The 22,332-nt window shown below is 45.3% G+C and overlaps 6 annotated features.

Annotated features, from left to right (window-relative positions):
- Positions 74-711: an enhancer, noted in NCBI's record as "H3K27ac-H3K4me1 hESC enhancer chr2:132431225-132431862 (GRCh37/hg19 assembly coordinates)". NCBI's record gives its function as "activates a minimal SCP1, AML or CMV promoter by ChIP-STARR-seq in naive H9 embryonic stem cells {active_cell/tissue: H9 hESC(naive)}" and the evidence as "EXISTENCE:reporter gene assay evidence [ECO:0000049][PMID:30033119]".
- Positions 712-1,351: an enhancer, noted in NCBI's record as "H3K27ac-H3K4me1 hESC enhancer chr2:132430585-132431224 (GRCh37/hg19 assembly coordinates)". NCBI's record gives its function as "activates a minimal SCP1, AML or CMV promoter by ChIP-STARR-seq in naive H9 embryonic stem cells {active_cell/tissue: H9 hESC(naive)}" and the evidence as "EXISTENCE:reporter gene assay evidence [ECO:0000049][PMID:30033119]".
- Positions 1,352-1,990: an enhancer, noted in NCBI's record as "H3K27ac-H3K4me1 hESC enhancer chr2:132429946-132430584 (GRCh37/hg19 assembly coordinates)". NCBI's record gives its function as "activates a minimal SCP1, AML or CMV promoter by ChIP-STARR-seq in naive H9 embryonic stem cells {active_cell/tissue: H9 hESC(naive)}" and the evidence as "EXISTENCE:reporter gene assay evidence [ECO:0000049][PMID:30033119]".
- Positions 1,527-1,826: an enhancer, noted in NCBI's record as "active region_16538". NCBI's record gives its function as "activates an Ori minimal core promoter by ATAC-STARR-seq in GM12878 lymphoblastoid cells {active_cell/tissue: GM12878}" and the evidence as "EXISTENCE:reporter gene assay evidence [ECO:0000049][PMID:35858748]".
- Positions 5,160-5,467: a transcriptional cis regulatory region, noted in NCBI's record as "candidate enhancer chr2.4815 targeted for multiplex CRISPR interference". NCBI's record gives its function as "positively regulates CCDC74A gene expression with high confidence in K562 cells {active_cell/tissue: K562}" and the evidence as "EXISTENCE:mutant phenotype evidence [ECO:0000015][PMID:30612741]".
- Positions 5,188-5,367: an enhancer, noted in NCBI's record as "active region_16537". NCBI's record gives its function as "activates an Ori minimal core promoter by ATAC-STARR-seq in GM12878 lymphoblastoid cells {active_cell/tissue: GM12878}" and the evidence as "EXISTENCE:reporter gene assay evidence [ECO:0000049][PMID:35858748]".

Below are 22,332 nucleotides of genomic sequence, written 5' to 3'. Positions count from 1 at the left end.
GAAGAAAAAGGCTGCAAAGCAGAGACAAGAACAGGGAAAGGATGTTATCGAATACATGCAAATGGATAAAATATGAATGATTATGTTCTCATGTTCAACCCAATTTTTAAAAATGGATGTATGAGCAGTGCGAGCATTTACTCAGGCCATGGTGAGCCTGTGGGCAGCGGTGGCAAACCCGGACTCCGCCCGCCGACACCAGCGGCCCGGAAACCCTAGCGCCAGAGGCCACCTAGTGGCCAAAGTCAGGCAGTCGGCCCACAGCTGCAGGAGAGCTGCAACGCGCCCTTCAGCGGATTCCCGGAGGCTGCACAGTGCCCAGCTCCCGCCACCCGGTGCTCTGGGCGCGGGCAAGTGACCCTCAGGCCGTCTGGGACAGGACCAGCCCTGCGGCCTCAGCGGTGGGCTCAGGGGCGGCTGCCAAGTGCACACGGTGAACTATAGCAGCTGTGGCAGCCCCCGACCCTGTGCAAGCCACCGGCAGTGCAGACCCCATGACCAAAAGCCGCCGCGTCCCCTAACTCAGGCGGTCGGCCCCCCAGCAGCCAGAGGGGGGAAACCTGCAGCTCAGCCCCATCCCAGCGCCTGCACTGTGCTCAGCGCCCGTAATCCCACTCTCTGGGCGCGGGCAAGGAAGACTAGACCTTAGGGTGGGAGGGCGGTGCACTCGCGGACCCTCAAGCCTTCTGGAACAAGCCCTGCCATCCTCCGCCGCGGGATCAGCGGCAGCTGCCACATGCACACTCCTGGAAGCAGCATTGGTGGCAGCTCTGGTCTCTGCCAGCTCCAGCAAGAACGCGGACCCCAGAGCCAGAGGTCACTGCAGCGCATGTTAGGAGGTTGGCCTCTCAGCCGCAGGAGGGCAGGAATCTGCGCTCAACCAGATCCTCATGGCTGCACAGTGTCCAACGCCCACGACCCCGCAATCTGGGCGCTGGTCTAGGAATAACGGACCCTAGGGTGGAAGGGAGGTGCACTCACCCACCCCTGGGCAGCCTCACACCAGCCCTGCCAGCATCTGCCTTGGGCTCAGCTGCAGCTGGCGCCTGCGCATGGCACAGGGCAGTAGCAGTGGCAGCCCTGCCCCTGCCCTCAGACACCAGCAGCAAAGACCCCAGGGCCGGACGCCTCCAAGGCACTTAAGTCAGGTGGTCGGTCCCATAGCTGCAAGAGGGCGGGAATCGGCTGCTCAGCCCCATAGCAGCTGTGGCAGCCCCCATCTCTGTCCATGCCACCAGTAGCACGAACCCTAGGGCCAGATACTGCGGTGGAGCCTAATTCAGACTGTAGCTGCAGCAAGGCGGGAATCGGCCGCTCAGCCCCATCCTGGAGGCTGCTCTGTGTCTAGCGCTCGCACACCACGTCCTGGGAGCAGTCTAAGGAACAGCAGACCCTAGGGGGTAGGGCGGTGCACTCAGCGACCCTCAGGGTGTCTGGGACCAGCCCTGCCAGCCTCTGCCATGCTCTCAGCTGCAGCTACCATCGCCAGGTGGCGCCCGTTAGCAATGGTGGAAACCACACCCCCCTCCTCCGACCTTACCTGCCCCCAACAGCAGTGCAGATTCCATAGCTGGATGCCTTGCCAGGGCGGGAACCAGCCGCACAGCCTATTCTGGGCAGCTGCACAGGGCCCAGCGCCCGAAACCCCGAGCTCTGGGCGCGGGCCAAGGAAGAGTCCACCCTAGGCTGAGAGGGTGGTGCACACCGCGATCCTCAGGCTTTCTGGGACCAACCCTGCCGGCTTCTACTGAGAGCTCAGCTGCAGCTGCCACCTGTACAAGGGCGCGACAGCAGCAGAGCAACCCGGCACTTTGCCTGCACCAGAGCCCTGACACGGGGGACAAGGCCGCCTCAGCGCCTAATTCAGGCAGTCAGCCCCGCAGCTGCAGCAGGGCAGAAACCTTTGCCCTCGGCCCAGTCTCCTTGGCTGCACAGTTCCCAGTGCCCGCGACCCGAACTCTGGGCTCAGGCAAAGGAAGAGCGGACCCTAGGGTGGGATAGTGCTCCACTCAATGACCCTGAGGCTGCCTCGGAAACGCCTTGCCAGCCTCTGTCATGGGCTCAGCTGCAGCAGCCACCTGCACATGGCGCGCGGAGCAGACTTGATGGCAACTCCAGACCATGCTTTTACACCAGCCAGGCGGACTCCAGGGCCAGAGGCCGCCCAGCGGCTAATTCAGGTGGTCCGGCCCCAGCTGCAGGAGGGCGGGAACCGGCAGCTCAGCCATTTCCTGGCGGCTGCCCTGTGCCCAGCGCCTGCACACCCTGATCTGGGCGCCTACAAGAAAGAGCTGACTCTAGGGTGAAAGGACCGTCCACTCAGCGACCCCCAGGCTGTCTGGGACCAGCCCTGCCTGCCTCTGCTGTAGATTCAGCTGCAGTGGTAACCTGCACAAGGCGCGCAGCAGCAGCTGTGGCAAACTCCGACCCTGCCAGCTCCACCAGCAGCGCGGACCCTTGGGCCAGAAGCCTCCACGACGCCTAAGTCAGGGTGTTGGTCTCTAGCTGCAGGAGGGCAGAAACTGGCGCTCAGCCTCACCTCAGAGGCTGCATGGTGCCCAGAGCCAGGGCCCAGCTCTTCTAGTGCAGGTTGGAGAGGCCCCCCAGGCTGGAGAGCAGTGTCATGAACACAGCTTACTGAAGCCTCAACCTCCCAGATTCAAGCTACCCTCTCACTTCAGCCTCCTGAGTAGCTGGTAGCTGGGACTACAGGCGGGTGCCATCGTGCCTGGCTATTATATTTTATATACATTTTGGAGAGACAGGGTCTCACCATGTTGCCCAGGCAGGTCTTGAAAGCCTGGAGTTCAAGTGATCCTCTCACCACCTTACCTCCCTCAGTGGTGGGATTATATGTGTGAGCCACTGTGCCCTACCTGCCGCTTTTCTTATAAGGATACTTGTCATTGGATTTAGGGCCCATCCTAATCATCTCAAGGTGCTGGATTTAATTACATCTGCAGATTGTTTTCCAAATAAAGGCACATTCACACATTCCAGGTAGACATATCTTTTGATAGACCACCATGCAATCCACTCTAGGAGTATTAACGTGCCGTGTGGACTGAGGCACCAAAGAATCACATTATTATGTCATATAACTTGCCTTATTTGTAGTGACCCGTGGGCTTGGAAACAGAACCATATGCAGCTGTCAGGGAAGTGCACAGTGCCTGACCTTTCCCGCAGCCTCCTCCCTACTGGTCTTCCATGAGAGGATCATCCCTTGAGAGTGTCGAGAGATTCCTGTTAAATGCTAAAGACCACAGGGGCGTTTGGGAGGGGGAAGATGTTTGGGGAGCAACTTAGTTGTCCTGAGGTGCCTATCACCCTTCACTGTTTCAGCAATATGGATCTTCCAAGGACCTGGGAATGGGAACCAGGCATAAGACAGATACATGTGGATGAGAAGAGGCCAGAGTCTTTCTCTGTGTAGGTACCAGCCCAAGATGAGCATTGCTCCAGAAACACATGCACTCATGATGCTAAACCCAATCTATTGAGGACTTAATACAAACTGAGATTTGTTTAAAGCATTTAATTCTTACCACAGTCCTTTGACATCTTATTATCTCCATTTTACAGATAAAGAAACAGGCACAGAGGGTTTAAGTAACATGTACAAGATCACACAATCACAACTAGTAAAGCCAGAATTAAAGTCCAGTCGGTCTGCATTCAAAGCCTGTGCTCCTGCCCCAAAATGAGAAGTAATGACTTAAAGGCAAGAAAAACAGACCCTCCTTTACCCACCATCCTCATACACAGACTTCCAGCCCAGGATCTGAGCCATTTATTCATTTTCTCTCATATTCATTCATTCATTCAGTTCTTCATCACACATTTAGTGAAGTTCTGTCGTGGAATGTTCACACAGAAGGTACAAAAATGAGGCAGGTGTATTTTCTCCCATCTAACAGGGGATGACCACATGAAGAGAACTGATGGGCTGTGTGTCCCATGGCCTTACAGGGCAGTGGTGGAGGGTGGCCCAGGTCATCCACTTTCTGGGGAGGCAGAACCAGAAGCACCAGTTGGACAACTACTAGAGATGTTTATGCAGCCTCATATGTTAAGTCATATATTTTGAAAGCTTTTTAAATTTTTTCTTTAAGAAGATTTTAGATGCTTATCACTGAGTACCAGAGGGATGTAGGCTGGTGCCCTTATTAACAAAGTCAGGGACCGTGGCACACAAGGATTGACTACTGCAGATACGGTCACAATGCTACCTCTAGATGGCCTGAATCCCCCTGCCCTCTCTGGTGGGGAGAAGGGCTGGCAGAGCCATTAGCATGGGCTCCGGCCAATCCTGGCCACTTTGATGCTCCTGGTGCTGACCCAGGGTCCTGGAGGAAGGGATGAGGTGGGCAGTAGAGATGCTTAGGGCAGCAGCCCCTTTCCATCCACACTGGAACTATTTCAGTATTTTACCACCAATTCGGCCATTCCGTTGTGCGCTGGCTGAACATCAGCCCTGCTCCAGGTCTCAGTTTCCCCTTTGTAAAAGGAAAGCTCTGGATTCAGGGGTGACCAGAGGTCATCATGGTCTTGAGATTCGAGGCCTGTAGGCAGGGGGTGAGAGGTTCACTAGGAGCACAGAAGGCCAAGGTTGGGGAGAGGCAGCAGAGAGAGTGGCCTCCCTTCGGCCCAGGTGGGAGGTTCACAGAGACACACTTCCTTCTTCCCCAAGGCAGGACTTGTTATAGTGAGCTTCAGGCAGTCTGGCTCTTAGGACTAACTAGGATGTCACCCTCCCTGCAGCATCCACCACTCCATAGACAACATGAGAGGAGTGTGTAAGTATAACTAGAACAAGCTAGTGTCCTGATATTCTCTGTGATGGAGGGGACAGCCCTCCTCAGAGACCCGGGGGGGCCCAGAACCATGGGCAGCCTGAACACACTTTACTTTCTCAGCAGTGAAAATCAGAACCCTGGCCTACTAAAGCAGAAATTAAAAAGAGAAAAACCTAAGTTCCTGCCTGTTCCAGGCTGACTCACTCCAAGGCCGTGCTAGAATTAAGATAACTTTATATACAAGGCCAGGAAGAGCCCAGAAGGAATGGACTCCAGGAACAGGGATGAGAAAAACAAGTTCTTATCAGCTTCCCCCTTTGAGATTCTTTCCCAGGCCAATATTTCTTTGTTCTGCTCTCATAACTATTTTTGTAACTATCTCTGTAAGTTTATAAGGATTTTTTAAGTTCCTGTTTTCCATCTGTGTGACCCTGAGAAGGTCACAAGACATGCCTGAGCAAGCCTAAAATAGTTACCATCTGCTGAGAGCCTGCTGGGTGGCCCAGCAGAGGTCATCAGACATGTTTGAGTCATACACTTGTCACTGTTTGATTAACTGCCTTTGTTCTGCTTCTGTAAGCTTGCTAAGCCCGCCCTGTAAGTTTTGCACAGCTGCATGCTTAAAAACCAGGCCCCGTCTTTTTTCCGGGCTCAGCCTTTTGGATGCAAATCCACTGGGCAAGTGGTCACTTTAATAAAATCCTCCTGTCTCACCCATTGGTCTCTCCAGTCTCTTGAATCCCTCAACACTAAGATGGCTCCAAGACAGCATGTGAGACTTAAGTAATAACTTTTTTGTTTGTTTGTTTGTTTTTATTTTTGTATGAGACTGGGTCTGGCTTTTTCACCCAGGCTGGAGTGCAGTGGTGCAATCACAGCTCACTGCAGCCACTTCCTGGGCTCAAGCCACCCTCCCACCTTAGCTTCCCAGGTAACTTAGGACTACAGGTGTACACCACTATCGCTGGCTAATTTTTGTATTTTTTCCAGAGACGAGGTCTCACTGTCTCACTGAGCTCAGGCTGGTCTCAAATTCCTGAGCTCAAGAGATTTACCAGTCTCAGCCTTCCAAAGTGCTAGGATTACAGGCATGAGACACTGTGCCTGGCCAGTAATTTTGTTTTATTATATTAAGGTGAGGTTTATACCACCTTCTTCTGATTACAGAAGTAATACATGCTCATTATGTAACACTGAAAATGTAAGCAGTATAAAAAAGAAAATAAAAAAGAATATGAAAATCACTAGTGGTCCCATTGTCTACTGATACACTATGTGCTGCTTCCTAATCTTTACTTCCTCTCCCTCCATGTGTGTCTTTGTGTGTTTGTGTGTGTGTCTGTCTGTGTGGTCTTTTTCTTGGCACATAGGACAATAGCTGACAATTATAGCTCCCCTACCAGTGTTGAGCATTGTGTTAAGCAATTAACAAAGTGGATTTTATTTAACTCCTACAGAAAACCTATAAAGGGGAAGGGCAGTATAATTAACAGAATTTCCCAGATGAAAAGACTGGGACCTGACTTGAGGTCACATTTTATATACAGCATTGTATTTTACTTCAGACACTTAACAAAGTAAGTGTCCTGGAGAATCTTGGTCTGTTAGTCTATATAATAACATAAGCATCTTTTGTAGGATTAATAGTTTTTCCAAAGCATGCCTGGAATGCTTGCATAACATTTTAGAGTTTAAATATGTTGTTTATTGCCAGGCATGGTGGCTCATGCCTGTAATCCCAGCATTTTGGGAATCCGAGGCAGGTGGATTGCCTGAGCTCAGGAGTTTGACACCAGCCTGGCCAACACAGTGAAACCCCATCTCTACTAAAATACAAAAAAATAGCCAGGCATGGTGGGGGTGCCTGTATTCCCAGCTACTTGGGAGGCTGAGGCAGGAGAAGTGCTTGAACCTGGGAGGTGGAGGTTGCGGTGAGCCGAGATTGTGCCACTGCACCCCAGCCTGGGCAAGAGTGAGACCTTGTCTCAAAAAAAAATGATTTTATCAAACCGTTTTCATCTTTGAAACATTTTAGGTCTCCTCTTTGGCTTTTTCGCATTATTAATAATACTGTGATAAACATCCTTCAGCAGAAACCTTCATAGGCTAGCTTCCTAGAAGTAGAGGTATTAGGTCCAAGGTTGTGAATTGTTTTAAAGCTATTTATTTTTCTGGATAAAATTGCTTCCAGAGATACTGTCCCATTGCATTGCAATCAGTGGATCTCACCTTCAGTATTTTGTGCAATTAAAAAAAAGAATGCTTCTCCTTTTAAAGATTATATTTAAAATAGCTTTTAAATATGAAAAATTTGTATCTACAAATAAGAGATAGTGAAAAAAATAATAAAAGAAACACAAAAGCAGAAAGTAGATGAAAACATTAAAATTCAAATCACAGGCCTCTGTCATGGAGAGGACAGCTGCAATAGCTTTTTTGTTCTTTTATCTCTGCTTGATACATTCTTCTTTTAATTAATTTTTACCCCAACTTAAGTGCTGGCTGAGTTGTCGATTTGTTGCTGGGATGGAAAGAAGAAATTTGCACCTTGTCTTTTGCAGGTTATGAAAGCCCTGTCTGTCCTCATGGTTATGTGGGGGTCTTTTAGATTATTGTGAATATTGAGCTTTGAAAATAACCTAACAGTCAATCAATTGCTGAGCTTCTATTACCAGTAGTGGGACACAATGTACATCATGTAGAGAGGCAGACTTGTCACTGACAAAAGGGTTGACCCCTGGAAAACCAGCACAGAGCCAGCTCTTCTGTCTGAATCCACTCTTTCCAAAACATAAGTCATGGAAAGAAATAAGAGTCTCAAGAAATGAGACTCTTACCGTGATGAGAGGGGGACCTTGAAAAGCTACTTTAGTGATTAGGGAGAGAAGTCCCTTTTTGCATCCCAAATCAAGCAGAGGACTGGTAGTCCAAATATAATTTCTGAATAACCTGAGTCACCTGGGCCCTGAGGAATCCTGGCCTCTTAGTCCACATTTGCAGAAATATCAGGAGGTCAATCAGGAAGCTGGTTAGGCATCTCAACACAGGGTCAAAAAGCTCCTAGGTATGCAAATAAATGTGCACACTGGAAATTGGTTCAGCAAGTTTTCCATGGCCTAGAGAACTATGATGATGAAAATGTTCTACATTTGTGCTGGCCAGTTCAGTAGCCACTAGCCACATGTGGCTATTGAGTAACTGAAATGTGGGTAGTACAACTGACCAGCTAAATTGTACAACTGACCAGCTAAATTGTAAATTGTTTTATTTGAATTAATTTTAATTTTAATAGTCATCTGGGGCTATTGGCTACTGTATTGGGTAGCACAGAGATGAGAAATAATAGAAACCTTTTTGTTTGGTTGTTTCAAGGGCTAACACTGTCAAAAGCTCAATTCCTGTTTTATGTAAGGTTTTGGTTTATATTTTCTCAAAGAAGTGAAGTACAGAAAAAAGAAAATAAAACAAAAGGATGATCAAGCAGAACTTTGGTAAAGAAGGGTGAAGCAGAGATACTTAACTCAGGGTGGGGACAACAGCAATGACCTTGTTTGAAACGCAGCTCCTGTCTCTGTGGCTCTCTGTGCTCTGCTGGGGCATCAGTTCCTTTACTTCTTAGTTAAAGCAGTTATTTCGATGATGCAATGCTTTTTTGCTCAATAAGCATGATTTTTTACACAGCTGGTTTATCTCCAGTATGGAAGCTCTCTGCTTAATCGTCTTGATTTTTCTGGGCTTGTTCCCACTCTGCAGATGTAAGCATGACACCTGTATCTCTCTCTCCAGGCTCTGATCTAGGATGACAGTTTCTATGTTGTGCCCATCTAGAGAAATACCCAAATTGCAACTTTAGGAAGAGAAAAAGAGGGCCCTGCAAAAGGCATCTACAGGCCCCATGTGCTGTTCACCTTTCTTATTTATGGGTGAAGTGAGTCCTCATCCATTTATTGGGCAGTTGCAAGCAAAGGAATTAACTGACTATGACAACTCACCTTGAGGTACAACAATTTTGTCTGTTTTGAGTTTCCACTGTTGAAAAAAACCTAGTTATTCTAATTAAGAATAGTTATAGATAGTACCTTTTTTTTTTTTTTTTTTTTTTTTTTTTTTTTTTGAGACAGGCTCTTGCTCTGTCACCCAGATTGGAATGCAGCAGCATGATCATGGCTCACTGCAGCCTCAACCTCCCTGGGCTCAGTGATTCTCCCACCTCAGTCTCCTGAGCAACTGGGAATGCAAGCACATGCCACCATGCCTAAATATTTTTTTTGATTTTGTTTTGTTTTGTAGAGATGGGGCTTTGCCATGTCACCTAGGTTGGTATTGATCTTCTGGACTCAAGTGATCCTCTCTCCTCAGCCTCCCAAAGTACTAGGATTACAGGTGTGAAGCAGCATGCCACGCCTATAGTGATATCTTTAAGTAAGCCTCTCCTATCTTTTTTTGAGCAGTTTTTCAAAGCAACAGGCACCTTATTAAATTAGAAAGTTGATGTGCTTCCCTAATGCCTACTAATGAGGTAAAGAACTAAAGAACCTCTGTGATTTCAATGAAGTCCCTTCAGATGTTATGGGCTACTTGTTACTGACAAGTATGGTAGGAACTGTAGGTCAAGCTGTCATAGGCAAATAGATCTTGCTGAAGAGGAAGAATTATTGGCTAAGATAACACCCTAGGACACCTGGCATACTTTAGACACAGCTAAATTGAATGCTTTCTGAGGAGGAGTGTATTAATCTGTTCTCACACTGCTATAAAGATATACATGAGAGTGGGTAATTGAAAAAGAAAAGGGATTGAATTGGCTCACAGTTCCGTGGGCTGTACAGACTTATGCTTATAGGGAGGCCTCAGGAAACTTACAATCATGGAAGAAGGTGAAAAGGAAGCAAGCACATATTCACATGGCTGAAAGGAGTCAGGGGAGGTGCTACACACTTTTTAAACAAGCAGATCTCAGGAGAACTTTATCATCAGACAGCACGAGGGGGATTAGGCTAAACCATTCCATTAGAAACCACCTCTATGATCCAGTCACCTTCCAGAAAGCCCCTCCTCCAAAACTGGCAATTACAATTCCACATGAGATTGGGGGTGGGGGGTGCACAAATCCAAACCATGTCAAGAAGCATTTTAAAAATTGAGGGAAGTTCTAATCAGATAGCAATTCAGGACAGGGCATTTCATCAGCATAACACTCCTCTCAATACATGCCAAAATGGGAAAAAGGAAAAATTGCAAGGACGAAGATGGGACGCAGCAAAATGACAAGATGACTAATAAGATGACCCCTGTGGAAAGCATTTACTGATTCAAAAACCAAATAATGAAGAAAATAAGAGCAAATTTGCTGAGTTTCTATGCTCTTTATGCTTATTAGGGAAGGGCAAAAGCCAGCCCCTCGACATTGTTATTGTTAATTAACATCATCACTGCCTGCTCTTAAGTGTCTAGATACTTTCTAGAATCTAGTATTATCTCCACTCAAATGTTTTTTGGATGTGCCCTTCATGCATGTGATATTGCAAAAACATTCTACATTAGCCACAGCAAGATGACTATGTAATAATTGGGATCACTTTAGGGGAGCATATTTGTACCACATTTTGAGATGGAAAATGAAATAAAGATGTCCATTTGTCAATTTCTTCTACATTATGTCAAACATTCAAAGAGATTATTTTATTTATTTCAAAGATGTATACATGTTGAAATTAAAATTTAAATTAAGAACATTTATAAACTGAGTCAAAAGAAAAGTAAGCGAGGCAGTTGGTTAATGTGTCAGTTAATGCCACCATAGTTCTGCATGCCCTGGAAGTGTCAGGCATAAACAACTCTAAAGTATTCGGCATGCAGCCAGGTGTGGCAGCTCATGCTGTCATTCCAGGACGTTGAGAGGCTGAGGCAGGTGGATTGCTTGAGCTCAGAACTTTGAGACCAAGCAAAGCCACATGGTGGAACCCCATCTCTATGAAAAATATGAAAATTAGCCAAGCATGTCGGTGCCCGCTTTTAGTACCAGCTACTGGAAAGGCTAAGGTGAGAGGATCATTTGAACCCAGGAGGTCGAGGCTGCAGTAAGCTCTGGTTGCACCACTGTACTCCAGCCTGGGTGAAAGAGAGAGACCCTATGCCCAGGACTCTTGGGATATGACTATACCCATAGGGATTGCCCGCAGTAACCTCACATTTGAGTGGAAGTGGAGATCATATGTACCTACACCAATATGTAGCAAAAAAGAAAAACATAGAAATGATAGCAGAAATGGCCCAAAGAATAAAAGAAGATGGGGGTAATTGAGAGAGGCTTTCTGGTGATAAAATTTGAACTGATTTCTGGAGAATGGGTTGAATTCCAATAGGGGGAGATGGACCAAATTTAATTTTGATGAGGGAAATGTCTTGAGCAAAATCTAGAAAAGGAAAACATGACCATTTTAAGTTTTAATGAGTGGTCCAGTTGGGGTACAGTGCAAGAAGAGAGTTCTAGTGAAAAAGTAGTTGGTCTGATAGGTCAAGGTCTTGCAGGCAGAGGCAGATACTATCATTATTCCATTTTTCAGATTGGAAAACAGACACAGAGAGTCCAAGGTCACAAACCCAGAAAGGGAATCTGGGCAGTCTAGCGGTAGCACCCTCTTCTTAAATGATCCATTAAAGGGCCTCTTCTCCAGGCACTCTAAAACTCTTCTCCATCTTTAGTTCCCCAGAGTACAGTGAGGCCCCGTCTACCTCACAGGATGGGGTCTCAGAAAAGCAACAGATCCCAAATCATACTAGCTTTTAAATAAAAAAATTTATAACCTTGCAAAACAAGAAGTGCAGAGGTTGGGCAAGAGCCAGCCCTGGTTCATTCAGCAGCTCAACAATAAATCCAAGGACCTGGGTATTTCTTCATCTCTCCACACCACCATCCTCATGGGCCAGCTTCTACCTCCTCCTGAATACTGTGTCTTTGCCTAGTTTTCTGATTTTGGCTCAATTGCTGCTTCCTGGAGGCAGACTTTCCTGCCTCTGTCTTGGGGTCAATCCGCCTTCACAGGCTCTTGCAGCACACCTGGGTCTGCTGCACTTTCCCTTATTACATAATTTTGTGACTAACATCAACTCTTTTTGTTAGATTCTAAGCTCCACTAGGGAAGAAATTTTTGATCACTATTGAATCCTGGAGTCTACCACTCAAATATTTGTCAAATGAGTAAATGGTAGCTCTGTGCAGGACCAAGGAACCCAAGAACCACAAGAAATAATCTGCCAAAGTACTCATTACAGCTCACTCTCCTCTGGTGACGTTTCCCTCAGGCACATTCCTGTTGGTTTCTTCCCCTCAAGAAGCATTCTTCTTTCTCCTTCCTAGAAAAGCCAGGTTTTTCTCAGATAGCCACACCATGCCCCATGCAAAGAGATTTGGATTATTCTACCATCTTGAGGCATTTCTGCGGAAACTGCTATCAGCCCAGGTGGCCCATGACCTAAGCTGACCCAAGCCAACTGAAGGGAGGACGTATTCTATGCACCCTATGCAGTTCCACAGGGTGCTGGTTTCCCCAGCTGCTGCTGGTGGTCATCACGTAACCAAGGTATTGCTAGTGCTTATGGAGAAAACAGAGCAAGTGGAGAGAAACTGAGTAGGTAAAAGTGGACAGGGCTTGGTGATGTTTGGGATATGAGGGATAAGACAGAGGATGGTCTTAGGAAAATCGCCTGTTCTTTCCTTTTGGAAAATGGTATAGATGAATAAAAGTTCCAATCACTGGGATAGAAAACACTTGGAAAATACGAGATTCATCCAGGCAAGTCTTTCATAAACTATTCCATAATCAGTTTCATAAGTGAAAGGGAGTCAGATCTCCACCTTGTTTGCTTCTATCATACTGTGTTGTATTGTTGGATCTACTTATCATATTCTTCCTGGTAGCAGACTTACCTACTAATGTTTGCACTTCCTCCTTGCCGGCCTGGAAGCTCTGAGGCAGCAGGAGCAGTGTGTGTGCACGCATGTCTGAGTGCACTTTCGTGTGTGTGTGTAATTGGATTCCCTACAGCACATTATTGTTTTATCCATAGTAAATGGTGGATGAATATTTGCAGGATTTAGCTGGACTGCAGCATTGTGGAGGTCAGATAACCCCATTTTGATAGAGAAGTTGCATTCTAACCTTGAAGTAAACAAAATACCCATCTTATCAGCCTCCCTCGCACTGGCTGTGCCTTTCCTTTGTGGTTGTATGTTTAAAGAGCTCATCCAACAAGCTTCTTAAAAAGGGGATTGGACCTTTGCCAGCCTCGGGCTGCATGGCAGGGTGACTGTGTCTTTGAATATCCCGGATGGAGGCTGGTCATCCTTTTGTCTTTGGGTGAATAGACTACTCAGGAAGGCAGGGATGAATGCACCCCCCACCCCGCATTCTTGTTAATGAGTTTGCAATTTATTTTGGCAGATCTAAAATAATATTTCAAAGGCAGTGTAGAAGCAGATGGGGACATTACTTGTAATTGTTTAATACTGTTATGACATGACATTTGCTTACAGAAAGAGAGGCAAGCCACCATCTTCAAGGGAGGGCATAGTCATCCACTGTGATCCTGGTGTCCATGTTGGAATATCATGGCAACTATCTCCCAGCACTGGACTTGATTACTTCTACTGCATTCCCAGTGATAGCTGAGTTGCTTTATTTACTTTCTTCAACACCATTTGTGAAAGGGAAGCTAGAAAACTGCACTATGTATGGCTTCGTGCACTGAAAATTTGACGTTATCAAAGGAGGCATGATCTTGTCTCTCTCTATCCCTCTCCAAATGTTTTCTATAATTATATTCAAAGGCTCATGGGTCTTACCATGGGTCATCAAGGAAGGGCTGGTAACTTTCAACCACAGGTAAAATATTACAAACACTGAAACCTGCATTTTTACAGGTGAGAGAAATGAGGCCAGAAAAGTTAAGTGCATCATGTTGAATACAATTTTATTTGGTGATCAGGCAGCCTGGGTTCAAATTCTGGCTCTATTGCTACCAATTAAGCCACTTAACTCCATCTGAGCCTCAGGTTGCCCATCTGTGTCATAAGCAGTAACAGCAGCTATCCTGTAGGACTACTGTGAGAATTACAACTCACTGTTTTGCTTGAATAAAGCAACCTTGGAGTATCTCAGGGGAGGGTGTTAGTTATCATCTGCTCAGGCACGGTTTCATTTACTATATACCCAGAGACTAGCACTGTACAAGTTGTGGGGAGATACTCATGTGAGTTGGTGGACTTTTGGTCAAATATTTTGCCTAAACTCAGGTCTCTATGGCATTCTACAGAACACTCTGCATCCTTCTAAGGGATACTGGAAGAGCAAATGGATTGTACAGTGAGTTACAAATAAAATGGCCAATCTCAGCGTGAAAGACTGAGGGTGTTACCTGAATGAGGATGCAGACCCTCCATCTACATACAAGCAAACCTAAGTGACCATGAGCCTGCCGGAAAGAAATCACATGCTATGTAAAGGCTTAGTAACAGTGATGAATATTTGAACTTGAACTCCAGCTCCAGAGCAGTTCAGTGGCCTCTCTTCCAGGAACAGAAGCCAAAGCAGCTCAGGATTCTTGAAGACTCTGAAAGGTCAGTGAGAATCCTGGTATATGTCAAGACTTTCCCATCAAAGAAGGGCTCTGTGTGTAGAGACTTAGAAAAGATTCCCAACTTCGGCCCCTTCAAAACCAGAAACAAAGGTGAGGGACAGCCCAATTAAGTGGCCGTAGAGATTTGCCCAGAAGCTGGAGCCCTCCGGAGAAGTCCAGTTTTCCTATGCAGGGAGAGGACTGGGAGTTCTCTGGTCACAAGCATTCTGCCTTTGTTTTCATGAAGCTATGCCTCTTACCTGGTAAGAAAAATGGAACTGCATGCAGCTGCTGAAAACTTTAACCAGAAACCCAAAGATGTTGGCACAAAGAAAGGAGGCCTGAAGAAAACAAGTGACCATGAAAAAACATTTAGCTCTTAATCTGACCCATTTCTTATGGGCCAGGCCTGGTGCCAGGAATGCGGTGATGAATAAAGCGGTGAGCTGAGACTGTGAGGATGAGAGGGAGTCCTGTGGGGATCTGGGATGATAGAAGGGCCCCGCAGATAGGTGACCCCGTGGCCAGAAGTTCTGCTGAGTGGAAAAGGGCTTGGAGTAACTGAAGTCAGCAGGATTCCTTAAACAAAGCTCAGAGCCCTTGAAGCCATCTAAGGGCACACTTCTCAGGCCTGCTCCAAACCACACTCAACTGGGAGTCTTTTAAGGACAGCTGCTCTGTTAGGCTTGCCAGAGATGGTGCAGTTTTCCCCTGTGGCGGTAGAGGCACAGACCGCCTCTGTGCAGGAGCGGGGCCTCACGATCCCTTGGACTAGGGCAAAGGAGGATCTCTGCCTCTCCCCGTCCTGGGCTAAGACATGGGAGGACCCCGACCCATGGCTCCACTGACTCTGGCACCAGAGGACCCCCGCTCTCCAGCGCCCTAGACTGAAGCAGGAGAAGACCTCAGACCTGCTCCGCCCTGAACCAGAGTACGGTGGGACCCGCGACCCTCCCTGGCCTCAGGCACTGGAGGACCCCTGCAACACCATGCACTAGACTATGCTACTGAAGGACCTCTCACCCGGCTCCACCCTGGACTAAGGCACCAGAGAATCCCCGCCCCGCCCCATCCCGCTGTGTCCTGGGCTGTGCCACTGCAGAACCCCCGCCTCTCCACACCCTGGATCCTGGCTCCCGAGGACCTCGGCCGTGGCTCGCCCTGAACTACTCCTGCCCCTCTGTGCTCTGGACTGTGGTTCCACAGGACCTGGTCCTGAGGCAACTTGGGCTACCGCGTGGACTCCAGGACCCCAGTCCCGCTGGGCCCTAGACCAAGACACGGGAGAACCTGTGACCCACCGCCCCCTGGTTAGGGCACAGAGGATCCACACCTTGCCGTGCCCTGGACTACAGCACGGAGGGACCCCGATCTGCCGGGCACTGGGCTCCTGCACAGAGGAGCCCCTGCCATGGAGGTCTGGACTGTCCTTGCCCCACCGCACCCTGGACTACTGCACGCCAAGACCCTCGCCTGAACGCGCCCTACACTCTGGCATGGGAGAACCCTGCCCCGCAGAGCCCTGGACTCCGCCACTGGAGGACTCGCACTCCATTACGTCCTGGACTTCTGCACCAGAGGACTCCTGCCCCGCCGCACCCTGGACACCTGCACTAGAGAACCCTGCCCGGTCGCCCCCTAGACTATGGCATGGGAGGACCCTTGCCACTGACTTCGGCACGGTAAGACCCCTGACCCGCCATGCACTGGATTCCAGCACTGGAGGACCCCCTGCCACGGCGCTCTCTGGGTTACTGCTGCCCCACCGCGTCCTGCACTACAGCATAGCAGAACAGCCGTCCCACCGCGCACTGGACTGAGGCACAGCAGGACCGGGGTCTCGTGCATGGTGACTGCAGGACGAGGTGACCCCCGCCCCGCCGCGCGTTGGACTATGGCACAGGAGGCCCACCACTCCCGCATGCCCTGGACCACTGCAGGACAGGTCCCCCACTCCGCCGTGCTCTGGAATATGGCACTGGAGGACCCCTGTCCTGCCGCTCCGCGGACTCCACCACCGAAGACCCTCGCCCCCCTGCGCCCTGGACAAAGGCACGCGAGGACCTGGCCTCACCGCCCCGTGGGCTATCGCATAGGAAAACCCCCACCCCACCCCCACCTCGCGCCAGAGACTCTGACAAGAGAGGACCCCTGCCCGCTGCTCCCCGGACTGCAGCAAGGCAGGAACCAGACTCCTCAGAGGTCCTCACTATGGCAACTGTGGATCCCCGCCCTGGTACCCCTGGCCTAAGTCACTGAAGGACCGTGACCCCCAACACGCCGTGAACTCCAGCATTGGAGGACCATTGCCTTACTGCGGACTCAGGCACTAGACTATCACAAGGCAGGATCCCTGTCCCACCATGCCCTACATTATGGCACGGGAGGATCCAGCCTTACTGCGCTCTGGACTCCAGCACCGGAGGACTCCTACATGGAGGACTCCCGTTCTGCCACGTCCTGGACTCCTGCAGAAGAGAACCCCCGCCCCGCTGCAACCTGGATATAGCAAGGCAGGAATCCCGCCCTGTCGCGCTCTGGACTGTGGCACTTCAGGATCCACGCCCCAGCGCGCCCTGGACTACTGCTCCGCAGGACTCCTGTTCCACTGCACCCTGGGCTATGGCACCAGAAGACCCAGCTCCTGGGGGCCTGGACTACGGCACCGGAGGACCCAGCTCCCGGCAGCCTGGACTATGGCACCAGAGGATCCAGCCCCTTGCGCCCTGGACTATGGCACCAGAGGATCCAGCCCCTTGCGCCCTGGACTATGGCACCAGAGGACCCAGTCCCCCGCTTCCTGGACTAAGGCACAGTAGGACCCCGCCGCATCGTGTACTCCTGCTCAAGAGGACCCTCGCAGGGCAGCGCATTGGACTAAGCTACTGAAGGAGCCCCACCCCTGCCTCTCCCTGGACTAAGGCACTGGAGAACTCTTTGCGCCACAGAGCCGCGGACTCTTGCACAAGAGAACCTCTGCCCAGCCGTGCTATGGACTGTGGCACAGTAGGGCCCACACCGCGCCATGGACTCCTGTACTGGAGGAAGAGTAGTGATAAATGTCCAGGTTTACAACTTGAAAAGTAGCAATCAATGTGCTACAATAGATGACAAATGCTGAAAACATTATGTGTAATTGCCTAGCCAGAACAATTACACAAGACAAAGACGTAAAAGAAATCCATATAGGGAAGGAAGAAGATGTAAGATTGTTTCTGTTTTCTGAAAATATAATCTTAAGATAGAGAAAATCTTAAAGATTCCACCAAAATAAACGGTTAAAGCTGATGAAGAAATTCAATAAAGTTAATAGTTACAAAATCAACATACAAATATCATTATTGTTTCTATAAACTAATGACAAACTATTACCTGAAAAATAAATTAATAAGGCAATTCAATTTATAATAGAATCAAAACATATATAAATATATAAAAGACAGCAGTAAATTTAATCAAAAACGCAAAAGATTTGCATACTGAAAACTATAGCACATTGATGAAAAAAATTAAAATGGCATAAATAAGTGGAGAAACATCCTTTATTGATGAATTCAAAAATTAGAATTGTAAAAGTGTCAATGCTACCCAAAGCAATCTACAGAGTAAATGCAACCACTATCAAATTCCAATGTCATTCTTCACAGAAATAGAAAAATTACTGCTAAAATTTGTATGGAACCACAAAAGACCTGGACCAACCAAAGCAATCTTGAACAAAAAGAACAAAGCTGGAGGCATCAGACTACCCGACTCCAAACTCTATTACAAAGCTATAGTAATTAAAACAGCATAGTAATGGCATAAAAACAGACATGTAAAACAGTACAAAGGGATATAGAACCCGTAAATAAATCCGTGTGTCTGTGGTCAATTGATTTTTTTGATAAAATAACTAAAAATACACAATGAAGAAAGAAAATTACTTTCAATAAATGGTGTAGAAAAAACTGACTATCCACATACAGAAGAATAAAATTTGACTTTTATTTTGCTCTTTATACAAGCATCAAATCAAAATTAAAGTCTTAAATTTAAAACTACTACAAGGAAATATAGAAGAAGACTGTATGACATTGGCCTGAGCTATGATTTTCTGTAGATTATTCCAAAAGCACAGGCAACAAAAGCAAAAACACACAAATGAGACTGCATAAAACTTAAAAGCTTTTCCACAGGAAATGAAGCAATAACAGAATGAAGAGAACCCACAAATGGGATAACATTTTTAAACCATACATCATATAAGGGGCTCATATAATAATATATAAGTAACTCAACCTACTCAAAAATAAGAAAAAAACTATGCTTATTAAAAAAATAAGCAAAGAATCGGAATAGACATTTTCTATGGCATACAAAAGACCAACAGGTGCATGAAAAAATCATAAACATTCCTAATTATCAGAGAAATGCAAATCAAAGCCACCATGAGATATCACCTCACACATTTTACTACGGCTATTATAAAAAAAGATGGAAGTTAAGTGTTGATGAGGATGTAGAGAAAAAGAAACCCTGTACACTGTTGGTAGGAGTGGAAATTAGTACAACCATCTTGGAAAACAGTATGAAGCTTCCTCAAGAAATTATAAATATATTTACCCTATGATCCATCAATCCCACTTCTGGATATGTGTCCAAAGGAATTTCAATCAGTATGTCAAAAAGAGACATATGCAATTTCATGTTCATTGCAGCAATATTCATAATAGCCATGAATTAGAAACAACCTAAGTGCTTATCAACTGAAGAATGGATAAAAATACGTGGAAAAATTGGAACCCTTCTACACCGCTGGTGAGATTTTAAAATGTAAAACAGTCTGGAAGTTCTTCAAAAGGTTAAACATAGAGTTATCACATGACCCAGCAATTTCACTCCTATGTATTTACCAAAAAGAAAATAAAACAAATGCTACACAAACAGTAGTACACAAATGTTTATAGCAACAAAAAGTAGAAAACAACAGAAATGTTCATCAACTGAGGAGTGGATAAATAAAATGTGGTGTGTCTATAAAGTAGAATCTTATTTGGCAACAAAAGGGAAAAAAGTGTTAATGCATGCTCCAAAATGGATGAACATTAAAAATATGTTAAGTAGTGAGTAAAAAATGACTATGTGTTATTATGATTCCATTTATGTGACATGCCCAGAATAGGCAAATTCATAGTCAGAAAGTAGATGAGCAGTCATCTAGACTAGGAGGGGTTTAAAAAAGGCTAGAGAAAATAGGGAAAGATTGCTAATGGGTGCAAGACTCTTTTAAGGAGCATTAAAATGTTCTAAAATTATATTATGATGATTATTTGTCCACCCAGTTAATACACTAAAAGAATTTGAAGTTTGTACTTTAAATGAGTGAATTACATAATGTATAAATTATATCTCAATAAAGCTGTGGAAAGTTAAAAGTATATGTAGGATGCATACAAAAATACTACTTATCTTTATAAATGAATGAAATTCTGTCATTTGCAAAAACATGGATGAATTTAGAGGACATTATACAAAGTAAAATAAGCCAGACACAGAAAGACAAATATCTCATAATATCACTTATATGTGAAATCCAAAAATGTGCACTCATAGAAGTTAAGAGTAGAATGGTGGTTTATCAGACGCTGAGCAGGGTGGGCGGCAGGGGTGGAAAAAGGGGAAATATTGAATGGGATAATGCTTCAGTTAGGAGAAAGACATTCTGGTGATATGGTACACAGCAAAGTGACTGCAGTTACTCATAATGTAGTGCATATCTTAAAAGCACTAAAATAGTACATTTTAAATGTTTCACCATAATGTAATAAATATCTGAAGTGAAGGATATGTTATTTAGCCTAATTTCTCCATTTCACAATATTTACATGTATTGTACCACATTGTACCCCATATATATTTATCAATAAAAACAAAATTTTCAGAAGTTAGAAAAACACATGTGCTAGATCTTCATCTAAAGACATTTCTGAGAAAAACGTATCTGTTTTCTTTCAGAAGAAATTTGTGCCTAATAGATATTATGATCAGGTAAAGGTTCTGCATGCTTCTATTTTGAATAATATTTTCCCCTTAGAATCACAAAGTGTGAATGCCTTTTATTTCAGAGGTCTAGCCCTAAACGGTTTAGTCAATTGCATCATGCATTCTGAAATAAGTACTGGTGCATTTGTGAAGGTACTATGTATAATTGTGTTTTTAATTTAACTAGCATATAAGTCTACTTTTCTAGTTAAGAGTCTATATTTTATAGAGGCCCTCCATATATATATAAGAGCTTTTCTGACAGTATATCCATTAAATTTCAAAGATAGGTAAAGGAACAATTTTGCTTTTATTTTTTATTATTGTTATTATTTTTTAAGGCTAGTCAAGTGAAGCTGTGGGAGTGGAGAAGGAACTGCTTTAATTTTTATGTGTTGGTGTTACAGGCTATATGTGACAGGCTATATATTTGTCTGCTGAATTTTAGAAACAAAGTGAAATATTTATTTCATATTTCATTAGATTTAGGGATGATGATTACACTGAAAGATTGGGACTAGACTGAAGGCACCACATCATCAATCACTTGGAAACAAGATTTTGCCTATGTGTTATGTTATATTCACAAAAACTTTTATTGTGTCAGGCAATATAGCTCCCTATTGAAATATGTGAAAAATGTAGGGGAAAAAAAAGGCAATATTTGTTGTCAAGGGATATTTAGGCCTGAGATGCGTGATGCAAATATTCAAAACATACACTTTTTAAAAATTAGATTTAAAATGTAAATTGAAGCAGAGCATTTAGAAAAAGACATAATATCTACTATTAGTCCTGGGTTAGAAAAGTTAAAATACTAAATGAAAAAATAATGCTTCTTGGGTGGCTTAAAATCGAATATGAGACAAAAAGTTACTCAGAAATTGTTCTAAGATTAAAAACATGTATAGTTTCTTTGATATAAAATGAAATAAATGTCTGGATATAACTTTAATAGAATAGAATAGGGAGACAAGGGCAAAGAGCAGGTGTATGAAGAATACAGTGAACATATTATTGTAACAATGAGAGGGACAGAGTTGAATGATTGCTCTTGGAGACAAGGGATTTTGATGTCTAAGTTAATGACAAATCTTTTGTTTGCAAGTTAAAAAAAATGTAAGTTAAACCTGGTGAAGGAATAAAGGGTGGTTGGGGGGATGATTCTTTGTACACTAAACTTGTTTTAATGACTAATGAATTAATCGTAAGTTCAAATGATTTTATGGAGGCCCTTTCTTTTTTATTTGATGTTTCTGGACTCCTTTTTTCTTTGTATGTGCTCCATTTTTACCTACTTGAACAATTTTTACCCGCAAAGTTTAGGAAACACTGTAACCAAATGTTCCAACATGATGTGAACCCTGAAAGCATTTGCAGCTGGGGGAGTAGGGTAAAAGAGGTTTGTCTTTCAACAAATGCATGTTAATCTCGGTGAAAACTTAGAAGTTTAAAATGGTCCTCCTTGGGTCATGTGGCTACCCCAGGACCAATCATTGCACCAGACATAGGAGATAATCTCAAAAGCCAGGCTGGAGTCAAGGTTCTCCAGTGGAGTTTCCATTTTAGAAATCAGTTTTGTCAGGCTTTGTGTTTGCATATTACAGACATGATAGCCATATAGCTATCTATTCCACTTCCAGTAGAGATGAAAACCTAAGAGCGTATGCCCATTCAAAGGATTTTACATGAATCTTCATAGCAGCTTTACTTGCAACAGCCAAAACCTGAAAACATTCCAAATGTCTATGGCAGGTGAATTTGTGACTTATAAACTTACTATGGTATATGTATATAATGAAATAATACTCCCTAGTAAGAACAGAACAACTGATAGATGTAGCAACATGAATAAATCTCAAAAATAGTGATGCTGAGTGATCAGAAAGTA

Source organism: Homo sapiens, chromosome 2, assembly GCF_000001405.40.
Source record: "Homo sapiens chromosome 2, GRCh38.p14 Primary Assembly".
Taxonomy (NCBI): Eukaryota; Metazoa; Chordata; class Mammalia; order Primates; family Hominidae; genus Homo; species Homo sapiens.
Note: the sequence above shows the minus strand (reverse complement) of the source record. Positions and strands in the feature narration are given on the sequence as shown.